The sequence below is a fragment of the Homo sapiens genome, chromosome 14 (genome assembly GCF_000001405.40).
Source record: "Homo sapiens chromosome 14, GRCh38.p14 Primary Assembly".
Classification (NCBI taxonomy): Eukaryota; Metazoa; Chordata; class Mammalia; order Primates; family Hominidae; genus Homo; species Homo sapiens.
The window spans coordinates 36,398,532-36,421,122 of NC_000014.9; the positions used below are offsets into that span (position 1 = coordinate 36,398,532).

At 41.8% G+C, this 22,591-nt stretch overlaps 1 pseudogene; it reads left to right on the plus strand.

The window, feature by feature from the left end:
• On the plus strand, positions 6,683 to 6,743 carry RNU7-93P (RNA, U7 small nuclear 93 pseudogene; annotated as a pseudogene).

Sequence of the window (22,591 nt, forward strand, 5' to 3'; positions counted from 1 at the left end):
ATCTGGGGAAACTCCCCAGGACTTCTTGTCTGCTTCCTTACTGCAAACAGAATGACCTCAAATTGTGGGCAAGCTTGGGCCTCAGCAGACACACGTGGAGGTAGATCAGTAGCACAGGTATGTGTGTGTATGTGCATGTGCGTGTGTGTGTGTGCAGAAGTCACCAGGATGTTCTTTGTCCCATTACCCTATTACCTCAAGTACTGTCCTGTATTCTGTACTTACAGTTTAAGAAGACTTTGGGGACCATCCTCACCCTTTGAGCTTTCCCTTCACTCTCCTCAGTGTCAAACCCATGTCTTTCCTTCAGAACAGCTACCACCCTGGGCTGCTGCTGCCAACAGAGGTGCACTGCTTGCAAAATCCTCTGTTTGGTTGTCACTGTTTGGTTATTACTCTACTGCAAAGGAACAACTCAACAAATGACTTTAAACTATTCACTTTTCAAATATTAGGTTAAGGCTATCTGAAGTTTGATCAAGATATGGTGGATAAGAAATCACTGCCCCTCCTAAAAATTTAGGTTACGACTCAAGTGCTCTTTTAAGAGGCATTTCAGAATGTTGACTGTATGCATTATCTCAGTGCCCAGCAACCGTGGCATAGCTACATTTAGGCAGTCTTTTGTGATGAGACATGTATATAAGTGAAGCATTTGGTCTTTCAAAAATGCTCCAAACTTCCCCTGACCCTGCTGTTCCCTTAAGGTACCACCCTACCTCTCACTTTCCGTCTACTCCCCAAATTGTCAACTAGTCCATACTTGCTGTTTCCACTGCCTCCCTAACCACAATCACACTGGACTATATAATTCTTAACTCTGCATTCTCATCCCCCAGGTATAATTGCTCTTTGGAGGTGGTCTTTACCTGTCTCATCACCAAATCCAGTGGCTACACAATAATCTTTAGGCTTCCTAACTACTCTGTTCCTTTAAAAATCCTCTCATCCCAAGGCTTCAGTGACCCCAAGGCTTCAGTGACCCCAAGCCACCCCAGGCTTCCTGTCTTCCTGGCAGTTCCTTCCCTGGATCCTTCTTTAGCTATTCTTCCTTCTTCCTCCTAAATGCAGGTACATCCAAAGGGTGTGTCCTCATGACCTTCTTCCCTCTCCTTCTACCATCTTCCTAACTATGTTTAGTTTACTGGATATGGAAGCTCTCCCCCAACAGTGAGCTATTGGAAACACAGACTATCCAAAGTCAGATATGTTTAGCCATGAGACTTTGCAGAATCTCCTACCAGGAAACGAGAGTAGGCACTGGCCCAAACACCAAAGCAGAAGAATCCAGCATAACAGTGCAGCCCTGGGGCACCATGCTGGATGCAGCTTAGGACAGGGGATGGGCACCAAGGGGTTTGACCATAGAATAAAGGAGAGGTCCAAAGCCGTAGGTCAGTCAGTGTGCTTGAAGAAGCATTATTTCTAATGCTTGTACATAGTAGGTTTAACAGTGTTCCCCAATCTCTTCACAGGGGTTAGGTATCCCTCTTGTACTTCTCCATCATGTCCTTTATCACACTGGATGCAGGGTATTGTATATTTGCTAGTCTATATCCACCTCTAGACTATAAGATCTGGAGGGCAAAGACCATATATATCTTTATCACCGTATTTCCAACACCTAGACTAATGCTTGTCCCAGAGAGGGTGCTAAATAAATTTTTATTGGAAGAGTGAATGAACAGGATTTTTAAATTTGGAAATTAAGTTAGTGGGAAGCATGGGAAAGAAAACATATGTAAACCAAGATGAAATTTGTACAAAGTGCATACCATACAGTCATGTATTATTGCTAGAGGTAGACTGCAAATTTCACTCTAAACTGCCTACCAGTCAAAGCAAAGAAAAAAAAATCAGTGATAAAATTTATAGTGACTGTAGGATTTTAAAAGATAAGTTGCTCCCGATGAAGTGTAAGTATCACTGTGTTGACTTAAGAGAAATGTCTCCATGGATCCCAACAGAGTGTTACTGGCTGGGCCACAGACAATGTCTAACAGGCCATCTTTATAATAGTGAATTCTATAGGGCTGTTTTTTACAATGTCCTTCAATATAGGCTAATCACATACTACAAATTTAAAGTAATTCTATGAGAAGGGAGACCAGAGTAAAGTAACCAAGTGCCCAGAATGCTGATGACCTAGCATAAAATTTAGAATATCCAGTAGTACGAGGTGTGTCCTGAAGCACATGAGTATTTTCTTTCTTTCTTCCTCTTTTTTTTTTTTATGAGACAGAGTCTTGCTCTGTCACCCAGGCTGGAGTGCAGTGGTGTGATCCCAGCTCACTGCAACCTCTACCTCCCAGGTTCAAGCGATTCTCCTGCCTCAGCCTCCTGAGTAGCTGGGATTATAGGCGTGTGCCACCATGCCCAGCTAATTTTTGTATTTTTAGTAGATACAGGGTTTCACCATGTTGGCCAGGCTGGTTTTGAACTCCTGACCTCAAGTGATCCACCCACCTCAGTTTCCCAAAGTGTTGGGATTACAGGCATGAGCCACCACGCCTGGCTACACATGTATATTTCTCATAATATTATCTAAGAGCTCTGTGATCAAGTACATTTGAGAAATACTGCCTACTCAAATTCTTATTTCTTGGATATTTACATGTACATTGACATACACTAATGTTTAAAGAAGTTCTTCAGTAAAGAAACTTTGTCTAATCTAGAGTGTTACCAAAACAATTTGATCATTTTATCATATACTACCTGTTTACATTTCAGGGAAATTTAAGGATGACACTTTGGGAAACAATCTTCTAGGGAAATTATGGACTGCATGTCTACAGGCAACCCTGTGTGAATGTTGTTTCTCACAATTAAGTTCTTGATAAGAATCTGTCCACAGAGTGTTCCAAGTGACAATCACTTGGCAAGAACTTGGAGTGCAGATAATCTGTGCTGTTATTTACAAATAACAGTTTGACAGTTAACTGAATGGCAGGTCATCTGAGGAAATTAACAGCTTCTATTCAATCTTTGTGTCCATATCCTTCCCAGGGAGATCCCAAGGGAAGCTGAGTATTATGTTAGAAAACAGTCATGACTCCATTCTACTTAAACCCAGTAAAACCATCTGAATCAACTTAGTAGAGAACAATCTGAAAATCTAAGCTAGTCTGAACTGCAGTAATAGCATTCTTCCCAAGAACTTCCAAGTGCTTCTAGAAGTGGTGAAGAACACACTACTGTTGTTATTGAAAATAACATCTATTGATTATCTTAATCAATGACTATTCTCCATGGGTTTATGTGCCAATAATTTAGGCTGCTCAGTTTTCTCCATTGAAACTTAAGATTTAAATCACTAGATCATAAAAAAACCATACAATGCATTGCCCCTTCTATCTGGGCAGGCATGCTTCAGATGAACAACAGTGGGAAAATATAATTTCTATGGCAAGAGGAAGGAGAAACAAAGTTTATGTCCTGGTATATTCCTTCCTTCTAACTAGCTGACAACTTCCCTCTGTAATAGGTCAGAAAACCGTCAGCTAAATGAGGAACCAGAGAAACACAGTCCAGATAATCTGAGCTCTTAAGAAAGAGGAGAAAGATCTAATCTTCATTTTTTTTCTATTACCAATCTCCTTGAAACTTCTAAAATATTTTCTGCTCTAACTTACTAGGCTTCATAGAATCAAGAAAGGTAAAGCATCATATAAAAGTATCAGATAAGTTAGCTAAAAACATTTTACATTTCACTCTAGAGTTCATTATATTTTTGGCAGGAAATTTATCTTCCTAATTATGTTTTACTTATGTTGACATTAAGTTTAATTGGTATTTCCTGTGAACACACTCAGTAGAAAGCAGGAAAGCCTGGCTAAGATTAAAAATTGGCCTTGGATAATCCAAAATCCACACTCACTCTGAGCGATCACATCTGTGCCCACAATTTCACCTATTCCTGATGCTCTGAGGACTTCCACATCAACATCGCTCCTCCATTGTCTCTCCTGAGCTATGCAGTGCATTTGAACAGACTCTCAGGCAACTTCACCTATATGTTGACATATGCAATGTGAATTCATCATCTTTCTGGCCATTTCTTACCTCTGTTCCTCTCTCCCTATAATCCCAGCCTCAATGATTAGATCTGCCTTCCACCCAACTGCCCAAGTCAAAATCTAGAAGCTGCTCTAGACTCCTTATTCCTACTCACCACCTTTCTTGGGACTAAAATCCAAATCCCTTAGCATGACATTGAAAGGCCTTCACAATCTTCATGTTTCCCAATGAAAGCCCTATTGGCAATTAGGGCGCAACAGTTCTTCTGTTTGCAGGCTTGTCCTTCTCATTTCTAGTCCCACCCACTAAATGCCAGCAACAATCCCCATTCACCATCATAAGTGGAAAACAAATAAACAAATTTAAAAAGATCATCTACATTTCCTAATGCTACTTGTAAGGTAATACAGCCTCTAGCTGAGAATCACAAGTCTAACTTTGCCTACCTTTCCAGCCCCATCTCCCCCTACATTCCTCCATAGACTTGACATTCCAGCCACACTGAATGATTTGCACTTCCTGTGTGTGCTGTGCTGTCTCAAGCCAAGCCTCTGTGCCTTTGCACATGCCGTTTTCTCTGTCCCTTCTGTCAGCCCTCTCCTTACTGAGTGTGACGGCTAATTTTATGTGTCAACTGGACTGAGCTAAGGGATGCCCAGAGAGTGGTAAATCATTCTTTCTGGGTGTATCTGGAAGATGTTAGTCTCTCTGAGTAGAGAGCAGGCTGAGTAAAGAAGATCCACCCTCACCAATGGGGGTGGGCATAATCCAATCTGTTGAGAGCCCAGACAGAACAAAAAGGTGAAGGAGGGGCACATTCTGTCTCTCTTCTTGAGTTGAGACATACATCTTTTTCTGCTAATGGATGTCAGAGCTCCTCATTCTCAGGCCTTTGGACTCTGAAACTTACATCAGCAGCACCCTCTCCTCTCAATTCTCAGAACTTTGGTCTTGGACTGGGAGTTATATCATCAGCTCCCCTGGTTAAGATTTGGTCTGAAAGACACCACCAACTTTCCTGGTTCTCTAGCTGGCAGATGGCAGATGGTGGGACCTCTTGGCCTTCATAATCATGTGAGCCAATTCCCATAATAAACTGGTTTTGTTTCTCTGGAGAATCCTGACTAATACACTGGGCCAACGAAAAATCTATACCTCAAGATTCAGTTCAAACTCTTTTGTCCTGGGAAGTCCCCTGCCCACCCTCCACCACAGTAACCTCTTGTCCCTGTAAACTGTAGCTCCACTTTGGACTGACCTAGGCAGACCAAGCTTCAAAATACCTGCCATAGGCCGGGTGCGCTGGCACACACCTGTAATCCCAGCACTTTGGGAGGCCAAGACATGGGAGATCACTTGAGGTCAGGAGTTCGAGACCAGCCTGGCCAACATGGTGAAATCCCATCTCTACTAAAATTACAAAAACTAGCCAGGTGTGGTGGTGCATGCCTGTAATCCCAGCTACTCAGGAGGTTGAGGCAGGAGAGTCACTTGAACCCAGGAGGCAGAGGCTGCAGTGAACCAAGATCATGCCACTGCCCTCCACGCTCCAGCCTGGGCAACAGAGAGAGACTCTGTCTCAAAAAACAAAAACAAACAACGAAATACCTGCCATGCCCACATCCCACTTTGGGAGAAACTGCCCTCACTGTAGCCCTGCCCTATGTAGATCAGCCCTTTGTAAATACTGTGATAGCCTCACAGCTGATGGACCAGGAGTTGTACCTGAAGCAAGGGTGGCCCACCCATAGGCCAGTGCCCTATGAAGTGCCCTAGCTTGAAAAGATGAACTGGGCCCATCAGATTTTCTTTCTCTTTCTCTCTCTCGGGAATTTCTAGGAAGAAACACAAATAGTATGAGTCAATTGTCAGGAGCTGCTATTACTGAGGAAAGGGCCCCAACTCAAGAGTCTATGTGGGCCATGAGAGTATGGGGAGACCAGCAGTGTCACACAGGTAGCATGCGGACTGGATTCCTCTCCTCTGTTGCCTCACCAGTCCATGGAAACACTGCCAGTAGTATTGGGGGACCCCAAGGAGAAGGACAGAAAGAAAGCCAGGCACCAGGAGAACTGAGCAGCAGAGAGTGAGCCCTCTGCATAGAGAAAACACTTGTCCCCAATCTGCCTCCAAAGAGCCTCCCAAACCCAAATGTGATAGGGCTTTATTGCACTGTACTGACCCACAGAGGAAAAAATAGGCTGAAGGGGAAAGCTGTTTCCTAGTTCTGCTCCCACCAGTTTCAAACCCCATGGCCTCAGGCAAGTGTTCTGAAGCACCTTTTCTGATCTGTAAAATGGAGATTGTAGTTTCTTCTCTGCCTTAAGTCCTGTTCAGTGATTAATTAACTGTATGACCTTGGGCAAGTCATTTGGCCTCTATGAGGCCAGTTCCTGCAATTTTAAAATAAAATCAGTAGATTTCACTTTACAAAGAGGTTGCAGTAATCAACATAGATAATGTATATAGAAAGTGTCTTGTAAACTGATCGTTACTGTATATAAGGTTATTATTACTATGACTTCTTTTTCCAAGCATTGCAAAAATCGTAGAAGACATTTTTGTTGGTATCTATAGTTATAAATATGTATATATAGTATATTGATTAGATTATTCTAAAATCTTATTCAAGTCTACTAATTTGATGTTACTTAAATCTTAAACCAGTTACAGCTCTTCTAGAATTTGTCCAGCAGTTCTCCTGGATTTTACAGGAAAACCCCACACACCAAAAAACAAACAAAAAAAAACAAAAAAACCCACCTTAAACCTACTTTTACACTATTCTGTAACTGAAGAATTATCATTTCAGTTGAGCAATCTCAAACAAGGGATTGCTATACTTCTAAAAACCATTTATCACTTGCTTTTTATTGCAACACTTTGAAAACCTTCTGCAGGCTATAAATTAGTGCTCTTTTTTCTGCTTACTACCTACTGTTTCAGTTTTACTATTAATAATAGCTTTAAACCCTTAAAATAGCTGTGGAACAATTTTTCTGAAACTGCTTATTACATGATTTCCATTAGCAACAATTGATTTTTTTTCCAATCCTTTTGGACACCTAGAACTCTGAGAGTCCCTGAAGCCTGGGGACTCTTGAGCTTTCTCTTTCCCACCATCCAATCAATTATCAAGACCTGTTTTGCCTGTTTTAAAAATATCCCTAAATGAGTGCACCACTATTCACCTAGGCCCAGACCACCAGTACCTCTCACTTGAATGCTTACAGTGGTTCCCTGACTGGTCTCCCTACACTCAGTCTCTCATGAAGGTGCTCTGGATATGTCAGTGAGTAACACAGGCAAGGTATGAATTTCCAATGCCATGGAGCTTTTTTATACTAGTGAGAGAAAGACAAAAAGGGGTTCCCCAAGAAAACCCCAACTTGCAAATTGTCATGAGTGCTATATAGGAAATAAGCAAAGTGCTGAAATAGAGAATATGGGGAGAGGGCATTGTAATTATGAGGTGGTCAGGGAGGGCCTCTCTAAGGAGGTGACTTTCAAGGTAAGACTGCAAGAGCAAGAATGAGTCAACCAAGAGAGGAGTATGAGCACTGCAGGCAGACGCAAAGGACCCAGGAGGAAAGGCATGTCTTTGTGACTCTAAGAGAAGCCCTGTGTAGCCAACTTATTCTCTATGGCAATGAGCAGGGTCAGCACCCCTCCACCCTTCAGCACAGACAACAAATGTGTGGAAATGAGAGGAAGCATCCCATCTACATGGATGAATGCCTTTTCTACAATATAAATGTGATTAGGCACTTAAAGAGCTTCATGATTTCCCATAATCCTTAAATGTTCAAGCAATTTAATTTGTAAGAACCTTCACGCTCAGGTCCCTACCACTTTCCCACCCTTATCCATACCCATTTTCCTTGTCACCCTGCACTGATCACCTTTTGGTTCCTTGAATGCACCATGCTTTTCTGTGTTCAGTACTTGCCTCCTCTGTCCCACTGACTGAACATGATTCCCCTTCCCTTCACTGATGGATCCTTTCTTACTTCACCTTTGAAGCCTCAGCTTAAACATCACTTCTTCCGACAATGCCTCTCACAGCACTGTGTGTCTAATTCCAGTCATGCATTAACTTTAGATCTCTGGGAAGGAAGTTCATGGTGTCTTATTACGACTGCCCCTGGTGTGGTTCGCATTATATTCATCAACTATTCTTTGGCCCAAACTGCTCTATGACCAACTCATTGTTTTTAAAACCCTTTTAGAATGCATGATGAAGTACACTGTAGCTTGCCATTACAATATTCAGAATGGCATCTCTATCTAGGCTCTAATCCAAGGTGGTTACAGACATACCAGAAGAACACCCTCTTTAAGTCAACCCAGGGACAGAGTATGGCTAGAATAGCTTAAAATTAGCAACGTCTGTTCAGAGGTTGCAGGCAGTGGAAGGAAGAGAAATTTATCCAGGTTTCTAAGATCACATTCCCAAGCTAAATACAGAAAAAAAATATTCTAACATTCACTTCTGATGGCAACCTTTTACAGATAGAATCCAAAGGCTAGGGAGGTGGATTTTAGCTGCTTAAAGTCTTGCTATAGTGAAGTAATGCTTCATATTAATTTTCTTTCACTAAAATTTATATGCAACTAGCCCTCTTCTAAAGCAACTGGTTATCAGAAATATGACAGCATGTTTATATGCCCACATCTTTTTTTTTTTAACCCACTTGGCTTTAGATTGCTTGAGACTAAACCTTGAAATAATATAGAATGTTTATAGTTCTGAGCAGAAATGCCATAAAGTAATGCAAATTAATCATTTATTAGTCAATCAGTACCTCATGCCTAACAGTTTGCTATATAGCATATGCAGAAAAGACAAATGAGAGTATGATGATATGTAGCTGCCTTAGGGGACTCACATGATCTGAGAAGCCTGCCTCCCATCACTCTGGTAGGAAGCCACTTCCATGTTAAATTCCAGAGGTGGCTTATAAAAGATTTTCCTACTGAAATGTCAAACTTCCTACACTGGTTCTAAAGCCATCAATCGTATGAACCCTACTTATTTTATGTATATATGACTTGTTATAAGAAAGAAGAAGATATATGTGTATGTGTGCAACAAGATCAAAAGTAAAATAAATAAGAAGAGGCAGAGATAATGGAGGGTAGAAAACTACAATGAAGCTGGGAATGAGGCATCATATTATTTCCATGTCTTAAGTTTCACAACTATTTGGCAGATTAATTTATATATATATATATATATATATTTATATATATATGTAATGAGATTTGTTATTATTTCCACATTATATATACCCTTAAAAAAAGCAGAAACAAAACCAAAAAACCCTCTTTTTAGAATTTATCACTGGATGCAGTGGCTCACACCTGTAATCCCAGCAATTTGGGAGGCCAAGGTGGGTGGATCATTTGAGGTCCAGAGTTTGAGACCAGCTTGGCCACCATGGTGAAACCCTGTCTCTACCAAAAATACAAAAATTACCCAGGTGTGGTGGCGCCCACCTGTAATCCCAGCTACGCAGGAGGCTGAGGCAGGAGAATCACTTGAACCTGGGAGGAAGAGGTTTCAATGAGCCAAGATCACACCACTGCACTCCAGCCTGGGGCACAGAACAAGACTCTATCTCAAAACAAACAAACAAACCAATAGAATTTATCCACATCTTTTTCTCAAATTTTGTTTGTAAGCACCTAAAAGTAGACTCTCACTGATTCTACTATCAGCATTTGGTTCATCTAGAGCAACCTTTTTTTCCAAATTCCTCTCTATATAATAATATGGTCAGTGAATGTAATATTGGTAATATTTTGATAGTACTCTCAATCACCTGAATGACATTCCCTGTTAAGGGGAAAATAAATGAGACACTGTTAGTCAGATAGTTCGTTTCTCCAAACAAAACCCCAAAGCTCCCAATTTGTGACAGGTGGACATCAACCCTAGGGAGAACAGACAACTTCAATGCTGCCTACAGTGTGGCATCATGTGCTCTATTTCCCAACAAGCAGAAGCTCAAAATTGTGGCCAGGTTTAAAGGCACCATAATGACAATTTCCTAGAAAGCCACTAGGTGGAAGGGATTTTTATTATGTCTTCTTTCACAAAGACCTTTGTTCTCTCAACCAAAGCGATCCCCTCCAGCGTACAAGAGTTTTAAATTAAGTATTTCTTCTGATTTTTTGGTCACTGCATTTTCCAAATACATTTATTTTTTTCTATTACAAAGAGACTTGTTCTTTGTAAGGAGCATGTCAGCACTTTCTCACCAGTTACCCTGAAAGAGGAAACATACTTGAAATGAGAAGCAGTAATTATTGAGATCTGTCTGCTTCTCACATGCTAGGGCTGTGTTCAGGATGCTCTGTTGGTTAAAGAACAGCAGTCAGGTTGCATGTGACCCAGGAAGGTGGAGTCCTCATGGCCATGGAAACAGGTGATTCTAGAAGCAATGGAAAATTGCTTGAGGGTATTAAGAGTGTGTTTGATAACACTGCCTGATGTGAATAGTATTAAATAGCAATATGAGGACAAAACAAAAGGAAATGATGAAAGCATTTACACTTTAACTATAGGAAAGAAGAAAAGAAAGATGTTGTTCCTCCTTCGTATCCCAACCCCTGTCAATATCAAGACCCATGAGGCAAGCATGCAGGCCTTAGGGTAACAGTCTTGGATTGCAGGATTTGGTTCATTGAGCTAAGGAGGCCTTCAGAGATTCCATGGTTCATTTGGGGGTGTTTAATCCTAGCCTAGGGAAGTCTTGTCTAACTGGCTCAAAATACAGGCATTTTCCCCAAGTTCTGCTCTACATCCTTACTTTCATATTAATTGTGCTCAGCCTACACATTTGAAAAAGGTGATGAGCAAGTCCGCTCCAAGATGGCCAAATAGGAACAGCTCCAGTTTGCAGCTCCCAGCATGATCAACACAGAAGACAGGTGATTTCTGCATTTCCAACTGAGATACCTAGTTCTTCTCATTGGTTCTGGTTGGACAGTGGGTGCAGCCCATGGAGGGTGAGCCAAAGCAGGGAGGGCCATCGCCTCACCTGGCAAGCACAAGGGGTCAGGGGATTTCCCTTCCCTAGCCAAGGGAAGCTGTGACAGACTGTACCTGGAAAAACGGGACACTTCTGCCCAAATACTCTGCTTTTCCCACAGTCTTAGCAGCCGGCAGACGGCAGGTCCTACACCCACAGAGCCTTGCTCACTGCTAGTGCAGCAGTTTGAGATCAACCTGTGAGGCTACAGCCTGGTGAGGGGAGGGGTGTCCGCCATTGCTGAGGCTTGAGTAGGTAAACAAAGTGGCCAGGAAGCTCAAACTGGGCAGAGCATACCGCAGCTCAGCAAGGCCTACTGCATCTATAGACTCCACCTCTGTGGGCAAGGCATAGCTGAACAAAAGGCAGCAGAAACTTCTGCAGACTTAAACCTCCCTGTCTGACAACTCTGAAGAGAGCAGTGGTTCTCCCAGCACAGCATTTCAGCTCTGAGAACAGACAGACTGCCTCTTCAAGTGGGTCCCTGACCCCAGTGTAGCCTAACTGGGAGACACCTCCCAGTAGGGGCCAACAGACACCTCATACAGGCAGGTGCCCCTCTGGGACAAAGCTTTCAGAAGAAGGATCAGGCAGCAATATTTGCTGTTCTGCAATATTTACTGTTCTGCAGCCTTCACTGGTGATACCCAGGCAAACAGGATCTGGAGTGGACCTCCATGAAACTCCAACAGACCTGCAGCTGAGGGCCCTGACTGTTAAAAGGAAAACTAACAAACAGAAAGGAATAGCATCAACATCAACAAAAAGGACATCCACACCAAAACCCCATCTGTAGGTCACCAACATCAAAGTTAGATAAAACCACAAAGATGGGGAGAAACCAGATCAGAAAAGCTGAAAATTCTAAAAACCAGAGCACCTCTTCTCCTCCAAAGGATTGCAGCTCCTCACTAGCAATGAAACAAAGCTGGATGGAGAATGACTTTGACGAGTTGACAGGAGCAGGTTTTAGAAGGTTGGTAATTACAGACTTCTCAGAGCTAAAGGAGGATGTTCAAACCCATCACAAGGAAGCTAAAAACCTTGAAAAAAGATTAGAAAAATGGGTAACTAGAATAAACAGTGAAGAGAAGACCTTAAATTACCTGATGGAGCTGAAAACCATGGCACAAGAACTATGTGATGCATGCACAAGCTTCAGTAGCCAATTTGATCAAGTGGAAGAAAGGGTATCAGTGATTGAAGATCAAATTAACAAAATGAAGCTAGTAGAGAAGTTCAGAGAAAAAAGAGTAAAAAGAAACGAACAAAGCCTCCAAGAAATACAGAACTATGTGAAAAGACCAAATCTACATTTGATTGGTGTACCTGAAAGTGATGGGGAGAATCAAACCAAGCTGGAAAACACTCTGCAGGATATTATCCAGGAGAACTTCCCCAACCTAGCAAGGCAGGCCAACATTCAAATTCAGGAAATACAGAGAACACCACAAAGATGCTCCTCAAGAAGAGCAACTCCAAGACACATAATTATCAGGTTCACCAAGGTTGAAATGAAGGAAAAAATGTTAAGGGCAGCCAGAGAGAAAGGTCGGGTTACCCACAAAGGGAAGCCCATAAGACTAACAGCTGATCTCTCGGCAGAAACTCTACAAACCAGAAGAGAGTGGGGGCCAATATTCAACATTCTTAAAGAAAGAATTTTCAACCCAGAATTTCATGTCCAGCCAAACTAAGCTTCAGAAGTGAAGGAGAAATAAAATCCATTACAGACAAGCAAATGCTGAGAGATTTTATCACCACCAGGCCTGCCTTACAAGAGCTCCTGAAGGAAGCACTAAACATGGAAAGGAACAACTGGTACCAGCCACTGCAAAAACATGCCAAATTGTAAAGACTATTGAGGCTAGGAAGAAACCGCATCAACTAACAAGCAAAATAACCAGCTAACATCATAATGACAGGATCAAATTCACATATAACAATATTAACCTTAAATGTAAATGAGCTAAATGCTCCAATTAGAAGACACAGACTGGCAAATTGGATAAAGAGTCAAGACCCATCAGTGTGCTGTATTCAGGAAACCCATCTCACATGCAAATACACACATAAGCTCAAAATAAAGGGATGGACGAAGATCTACCAAGCAAATGGAAAGCAAAAAACAGCAGGCGTTGGGTGGAGCCAAGATGGCTGAATAGGAACAGCTCCAGTCTACAGCTCCCAGCATGAGTGACGCAGAAGATGAATGATTTCTGCATTTCCAACTGAGGTACCAGGTGCATCTCACTGGGGATTGTCGGACAGTGGGTGCAGCGCACTGAGCATGAGCTGAAGCAGGGCAAGGCATCTCCTCACCCGGGAAGTGCAAGGGGTCGGGGAATTCCCTTTCCTAGCCAAGGAAAGGGGTGACGGACAGCACCTGGAAAATCGGGTCACTCCCACCCTAATACTGCGCTTTTCCGATGGTCTTAGCAAACGGCACACCAGGAGATTATATCCCGTGCCTGGCTCAGAGGGTCCTACGCCCACGGAGCCTCGCTTATTGCTAGCACAGCAGTCTGAGATCGAACTGCAAGGCAGCAGCGAGGCTGGGGGAGGGGCGCCAGCCATTGCCGAGGCTTGAGTAGGTAAACAAAGCGGCCAGGAAGCTCGAACTCGGTGGAGCCCACCTCAGCTCAAGGAAGCCTGCCCGTCTCTGTAGACTTCACCTCTGGGGGCAGGGCACAGCCAAACAAAAGGCAGCAGAATCCTCTGCAGACTTAAATGTCCCTATCTGACAGCTTTGAAGAGAGTAGTGGTTCTCCCAGCATGCAGCTGGAGATCTGAGAATGGACAGACTGCCTCCTTAAGTGGGTCCCTGACCCCCGAGTAGCCTAACTGGGAGGTACCACCAAGTAGGGGCAGACTGACACCTCACACGGCCGGGTACTCCTCTGAGACAAAAGTTCCAGAGGAACAATCAGGCAGCAACCTTTTCTGTTCACCAATATCCACTGTTCTGCAGCCTCTGCTGCTGATACCCAGGCAAATAGGGTCTGGAGTGGACCTCCAACAAACTCCAACAGACCTGCGGCTGAGGGTCCTGACTGTTAGAAGGAAAACTAACAAACAGAAAGGACATCTGCACCAGAACTCCATCTGTACATCACCATCATCAAAGACCAAAGGTAGATAAAACCAAAAAGATGGGGAAAAAACAATTAGAAAAACTGAAAAATATAAAAATCAGAGCACCTCTCCTCCTCCAAAGGAACGCAGCTCCTCACCAGCAATGGAACAAAGCTCGACGGAGAATGACTTTGACAAGTTGAGAGAAGAAGGCTTCAGACGATCAAACTACTCTGAGCTAAAGGAGGAAGTGCGAACCCATGGCAAAGAAGATAAAAACCTTGAAAAAAGATTAGATGAATGGCGAACTACAACAACCAATGCAGAGAAGTCCTTAAAGGACCTGATGGAGCTGAAAACCATGGCACAAGAACTATGTGACGAATGCACAAGCCTTAGTAGCTGATTCGATCAACTGGAAGAAAGGGTATCAGTGATGGAAGATCAGATGAATGAAATGAAGCAAGAAGAGAAGTTTAGAGAAAAAAGAATAAAAAGAAATGAACAAAGCCTCCAAGAAATATGGGACTATGTGAAAAGACCAAATCTACGTCTGACTGGTGTACCTGAAAGTAATGGGGAGAATGGAACCATGTTGCAAAACACTCTGCAGGATATTATCCAGCAGAACTTCCCCAATCTAGCAAGGCAGGCCAACATTCAAATTCAGGAAATACAGAGAACGCCACAAAGATACTCCTCGAGAAGAGCAACTCCAAGACACATAATTGTCAGATTCACCAAAGTTGAAATGAAGGAAAAAATGTTAAGGGCAGCCAGAGAGAAAGGTCGGGTTACCCACAAAGGGAAGCCCATAAGACTAACAGCTGATCTCTCGGCAGAAACTCTACAAACCAGAAGAGAGTGGGGGCCAATATTCAACATTCTTAAAGAAAGAATTTTCAACCCAGAATTTCATATCCAGCCAAACTAAGCTTCAGAAGTGAAGGAGAAATAAAATCCATTACAGACAAGCAAATGCTGAGAGATTTTATCACCACCAGGCCTGCCTTACAAGAGCTCCTGAAGGAAGCACTAAACATGGAAAGGAACAACTGGTACCAGCCACTGCAAAAACATGCCAAATTGTAAAGACTATTGAGGCTAGGAAGAAACCGCATCAACTAACAAGCAAAATAACCAGCTAACGTCATAATGACAGGATCAAATTCACATATAACAATATTAACCTTAAATGTAAATGAGCTAAATGCTCCAATTAGAAGACACAGACTGGCAAATTGGATAAAGAGTCAAGACCCATCAGTGTGCTGTATTCAGGAAACCCATCTCACATGCAAATACACACATAGGCTCAAAATAAAGGGATGGAGGAAGACCTACCAAGCAAATGGAAAACAAAAAAAGGTAGGGGTTGCAATCCTAGTCTCTGATAAAACAGACTTTAAACCAACAAAGATCAAAAGAGACAAAGAAGGCCATTACATAATGGTAAAGGGATCAATTCAACAAGAAGAGCTAACTATCCTAAATATATATGCACCCAATACAGGAGCACCCAGATTCATAAATCAAGTCCTTAGAGACCTACAAAGAGACTTAGACTCCCACACAATAATAATGGGAGACTTTAACACCTCACTGTCAACATTAGACAGATCAATGAGACAGAAAGTTAACAAGGTTATCCAGGACTTGAACCCAGCTCTGCACCAAGCAGACCTAATAGACATCTACAGAACTCTCCACCCCAAATCGATAGAATATACATTCTTTTCAGCACACCACACCTATTCCAAAATTGACCACATATTTGGAAGTAAAGCACTCCTCAGCAAATGTAAAAGAACAGAAATTATAACAAACTGTCTCTCAGACCACAGTGCAATCAAACTAGAACTCAGGATTAAGAAACTCACTCAAAACTGATCAACTACATGGAAACTGAACAACCTGCTCCTGAATGAATACTGGTTACACAACAAAATAAAGGCAAAAATAAAGATGTTCTTTGAAACCAATGAGAACAAAGACATAACATACCAGAATCTCTGGGACACATTCAAAGCAGTGTGTAGAGGGAAATTTATAGCACTAAATGCCCACAAGAGAAAGCAGGAAAGATCTAAAATTGACACCCTAACATCACAATTAAAAGAACTAGAGAAGCAAGAGCAAACACATTCAAAAGCTAGCAGAAGGCAAGAAATAACTAAGATCAGAGAAGAACTGAAGGAAATAAAGACTCAAAAAACCCTTCAAATAATCAATGAATCCAGGAGCTGGTTTTTTGAAAAGATCAACAAAATTGATAGACCACTAGCAAGACTAATAAAGAAGAAAAGAGAGAAGAATCAAATAGATGCAATAAAAAATGATAAAGGGGATATCACCACCGATCCCACAAAAATACAAACTACCATCAGAGAATACTATAAACACTTCTATGCAAATAAACTAGAAAATCTAGAAGAAATGGATAAATTCCTGGACACATACACCCTCCCAAGACTAAACCAGGAAGAAGTTGAATCTCTGAATAGACCAATAACAGGCTCTGAAATTGAGGCAATAATTAATAGCTTACCAACCAAACAAAGTCCAGGACCAGACGGATTCACAGCCGAATTCTACTGGAGGTACAAGGTGGAGCTGGTACCATTCCTTCTGAAACTATTCCAATCAATAGAAAAAGAGGGAATCCTCCCTAACTCATTTTATGAGGCCAACATCATCCTGATATCAAAGCCTGGCAGAGACACAACAAAAAAGAGAATTTTAGACCAATATCCCTGATGAACATCAATGCAAAAATCCTCATAAAATACTGGCAAACCGAATCCAGCAGCACATCAAAAAGCTTTTCCACCATGATCAAGTTGGCTTCATCCCTGGAATGCAAGGCTGGTTCCACATACACAAATCAATAAACGTAATCCATCACATAAACAGAACCAATGGCAAAAACCACATGATTATCTCAATAGATGCAGAAAAGGCCTTTGACAAAATTCAATAGCCCTTCATGCTAAAAACTCTCAGTAAACTAGGTATTGATGGGACATATCTCAAAATAATAAGAGCTATTTATGACAAACCCACAGCCAATATTATACTGAATGTGCAAAAACTGGAAGCATTCCCTTTGAAAACTGGCACAAGACAAGGATGCCCTCTCTCACCGCTCCTATTCAACATAGTGTTGGAAGTTCTGGCCAGAGAAATCAGGCAAGAGAAAGAAATAAAGGGTATTCAGTTAGGAAAAGAGGAAGTCAAATTGTCCCTGTTTGCAGATGACATGATTGTACATTTGGAAAACTCCATTGTCTCAGCCCAAAATCTCCTTAAGCTGATAAGCAACTTCAGCAAAGTCTCAGGATACAAAATCAATGTGCAAAAATCACAGGCATTCCTATATACCAATAACAGACAAACAGAGCCAAATCATCAGTGAACTCCCATTCACAATTGCTACAAAAGGAATAAAACACCTAGGAATCTAACTTACAACAGATGTAAAGGACCTCTTCCAGGAGAACTACAAACCACTGCTCAACAAAATAAAAGAGGACACAAACAAATGGAAGAACATTCCAGGCTCATGGATAGGAAGAATCAATATCTTGAAAATGGCCATACTGCCCAAGGTAATTTATAGATTCAATGCCATCCTCATCAAGCTACAAATGACTTTCTTCACAGAACTGGAAAAAACTACTTTAAAGTTCGTATGGAACCAAAAAAGAGCCCACATTGCCAAGACAATCCTAAGCAAAAAGAACAAAGCTGGAGGCATCATGCTACCTGACTTCAAACTATACTACAAGGCTACAGTAATCAAAACAGCATGGTACTGGTACCAAAACAGATATATAGACCAATGGAATAGTACAGAGGCCTCAGAAATAACACCACACATCTACAACCATCTGATCTTTGACAATCCTGACAAAAAGAAGAAATGCAGAAAGGATTCCCTATTTAATAAATGATGCTGGGAAAACTGGCTAGCCATATGTAGAAAGCTGAAACTGGATCCCTTCCTTACATCTTATACAAAAATTAATTCAAAATGGATTAAAGACTTAAATTTAGACCTAAAACCATAAAAACACTAGAAGAAAACCTAGGCAACACCATTCAGCACATAGGCATGGGCAAGGACTTCATGAATAAAACACCAAAAGCAATGGCAACAAAAGCCAAAATAGACAAATGGGATCTAATTAAACTAAAGAGCTTCTGCACGGCAAAAGAAACTACCATGAGAGTGAACAGACAACTTACAGAATGGGAGAAAAATTTTGCAATCTTCCCATCTGACAAAGGGCTAATATCCAGAATCTACAAAGAACTTAAACAAATTTTCAAGAAAAAAACAAACAACCACATCAAAAAGTGGGCAAAGTGTATGAACAGACACTTCTCAAAAGAAGACATTTATGCAGCCAAAAGACACATGAAAAAATGCTCATCATCACTGATCATCAGAGAAATGCAAATCAAAACCACAATGAGATACCATCTCACGCCAGTTAGAATGGCAATCATTAAAAAGTCAGGAAACACCAGATGCTGGAGAGGATGTGGAGAAATAGGAACGCTTTTGCACGGTTGGTGGAAGTGTAAATTAGTTCAACCATTGTGGAAGACAGTGTGGTGATTCCTCAGGGATCTAGAACTAGAAATACCATTTGACCCAGCCATCCCATTACTGGGTATATACCCAAAGGATTATAAATCATGCTGCTATAAAGACACATGCACATGTATGTTTATTGTGGCACTATTCACAATAGCAAAGACTTGGAACCAACTCAAATATCCATCAATGATAGAATGGATTAAGAAAATGTGGCACATATACACTATGGAATACTATGCAGCCATAAAAAAGGATGAGTTCATGTCCTTTGCAGGGACATGGATGAAGCTGGAAACCATCATTCTCAGCAAACTATCACAAGGACAGAAAACCAAACACCTCATGTTTTCACTCGTGGGTGGGAATTGTACGATCAGAACACTTGGACACAGGGTGGGGAACATTACACACCAGGGCCTGTTGTGGGGTGGGGACTGGAGGAGGGACAACATTAGGAGAAATACCTAATGATGGGTGCAGCAAACCAACATGGCACATGTATACCTATGTAACAAACCTGCAAGTTGTGCACATGTACCCTAGAACTTAAAGTATAATTTAAAAAAAAGAAAAAGGGGATGAGTGGAAAAAGGATGCCAAGGTTGAGAATTGTTCAGATTAAAGATATTTTGCTACCTGAAAGCTACTGATGCTTTTCTTAAAAATCCACAGCCTCTCAGTTTACCTGACTGACTGAATGAGACATGACTGAGGATTAAAAATTCACTGGTGTGAACAGGGTACCCAAGCCAACCAAGACAAGTTTTGGGTTGGGACTTATCAGGACGTCTGATATGTGAAAAGCTATTGTAAAACCCTTGTTGAATCAGAGAAGCTTGAATCCTTTAGCTTCAGATTCAGAAATATGACAAGTCAAATGAGCTTGGACACAAAGTCTGAGGCCCACTTTATTGTATGCCCCTGGGTATAACAAAAAGCAATCCCCTTTTCTTTCTCCCTCCAGGTATGGGAAGTATATTTCACAAGTTACAGGAGGCTGTAAGGAAGCAGGGGAAGGGAGGGAGTGGATGGGAGTCTCCACTTGGAGGTGAGGTCCATGTAGGGGAACAGCTAGAGCTGTGCTACTGAAGGCTTTCTTACTGTCAGATCCACTGGCTGGTATGCCCTGTCTGACTCTCTCTGCCTCACCTCAGAGCAGGACTCACCTCACCTCAGGGTACAGGACTCCTACATTCTCACAGCCAGGAGCATCCAAAAGCTGATGGGGCCTCATCCCAGTTCTGGCTGCAGGACACTTCCCTCACAAGAGCATCGGCTATTTCAGTTTATTTTCATCTAACTATAAAGGGATATAGAAACAGCATAATAAAAAATGCTTGCGCTGTAGAATTTACAATCTAGCTAGTGATGTGGAATAGAGCACAGATGACAATCTATGGTCATGTAAAGTTAATGAGAACAGTACAGGCAGTCTAGTCCATACCTGCAAAGTACAATGAAGTCAATCAAGGAAGGTTTCTTGAAGGCATGAATTTTGGGTGCTGCTTTAGAGGGTGATTCTTATGGGAGCAGGGGATTCCTTGGGGGTCAAAATGGACATTGCCAAGGTCAAATGAGGGGAGTGAGGAGGCTCATCCTGCCATGGCACAGAGCAGCTGTTTCTGGGATGGTGGCAAAATGGGCTCTGGAAATACACTTCTAGCTTGGCTGGCCAAGTTCAAGACAGAAGTGGGAAAGACATCAAGTTCTAGGCAAGGTGGCTATCACCCAGTATGAACCCTGCATAATGCTGGCCTGGTTAGGGTAGGGGAGAAGTCTACATTGAGAAACAATAAAAGTATCAGTCACTGTGGAGGTTAGAAGGTTGGCCTGGCTAAATGAGTTTAGATTTCAAATGATTGACACTAGGAAGCCTATGGAAGTTCTTGAGAGAGAAGTGACATCATGCAAAGGGGTCTAAAGAAGCCAATTCTAATAACTGTGTCCAATGGGTTGAAGAGGAAAGAGACTATATGTGTATGAGGGTAGAAAGGGCACTAGCTCAGGGGGTGTCTTTGTAGCCCAGGAGCACAGTTGTCCATCTTACACTAAAGCAAGTGTTTGCTGATTTGGGACCAAACCAAGGATTAAGCTTTCTGGTGTATTATAGTAGGCATCAACTTTTCAAGTTAAAAAAAATTGATGCAATCTATTGGTCTCTTGCCTCAAGAAATAAGGTAGAAAAAAAAAACAACATTGAGATTGTGGCTGCTCAGGGTCATCCATTATGCCAAATAAAATGTTTTTATAGGGCCTGAAGTTTGCTAAACATGACTGCTAGTACTCTATCCCTGCTGAAATAGGATGTTTATCCAGAGGGGATAAATGACCTCACAAAAAGGTCAATTGCATTAATTAAGAGGGTTCTACTTTTGCTAGAGTTGGCCGTATTTTGGTAAAAAATAACACTATTTTAAAAATAAGCCCCAAGCAGTAAATTTACAGATCCAAGAAAGCAGCGACTATCTTCCATATATGCAATCAACCCATGTGTAGTCTTGTCACCACACTGTAGCATGCAGCTGATTGACACTCAGCAGGGCAAAAAAGCACAAGTGGAGCCAAAGATGTAATGATGAGGGCCTCCAGTGCCTGTTTTTGCTTAGACTAGTGATTCTCAGCCCTGGTAGGGCATCCTTATCTCCTGGGGAGCTTTTCAAAGATAAATGATGCTGGACCCTTGCCAAAATCTGAATCTCCAAGGATGGAGCCTAAATATATCTATGTGTATGTCATCTGCATACTGCTGGAGTTGTGAGCCACTGACTTAGATGGTGAAGCTGAAATGGTCTCCCACAAAATTGCATACACTTGAGTGCACACACACACACACACACACACACCTGGGATAGCCAATCAAGCTTGCCCATTTTTTCTTATAAACAGAAGTGTTTGTTCACAGATATTCTGGGAATATTGGGTTCTCAGAATCTTTACATTCTTCAACCATTTTAAGATCAGTCTCTAGGATTTTCTTAAACCTGAGTACTATTGCAACATAGGATTCCCAAACACCATGACCTTCTTACAGAGTTTTCCTGAGAGTAGATGAACCCTCCCTCACTGTCCTGTGGGATAACTGGAAGGACAACCCTTCATTTGCATTCTATCCTCCGCCCTGCAATATTCTCTGGAATCCACATTCCTTCCTGATCCCTCTTCCAAGAAATAAGAATCGGGGAAGGAAATAGTCTCTGAGGGAAGAATCTTTGTCCCAGGAACCAAGTTACAGAGGAGCCGCTGAATTCCCTGAGGTAATCTCCATTGAATCAAAACACAAAGAGGGAGGTTAATTCAATTAGCAAGTGATGCCTTCTCCTAGAATAAACTTCTTGGACTAATTTGGGGAGGGAGCCCCGAAGACTGGTGCCCACACTGCAAACAGAGAAAATATTGGAAATGCTTAGAGTCTGCCATCTACCCAGCCGTGGCTGTTCACCTTAATATTATTTCTTGAAAAATGGCCAATGTGTTAGACTCTCTAGGACACAGAGCTGTGGTCACAAGATAAAGTACACAGATAAGACATGGAGATATGGAAGGGATAAAAATACTCTTCAGGGAAATGGGGGTCTGCAGTACAAAGGTTGAGAGCTTTAAGGGAACATTTCACATTCTGGCTTTTAAGTACACTGAAAACACACTTCCTGAGAGAAATGCATCTTGAGAGTACACTCAGCGAGGAGGAAGAAATTCTTATAAGACAATTTTTGGGAGAAAAGGAAGGTTTTTTATTCAAGTCAACATGGTGTTTTGCATGTAATAGAACCAGAGAAATATTTGTTAAATTGAAAGTTATTTCAGTATAGATTGTGGTCATGTTTTCATCCTATAATTTGAAAAAGATCCTCAG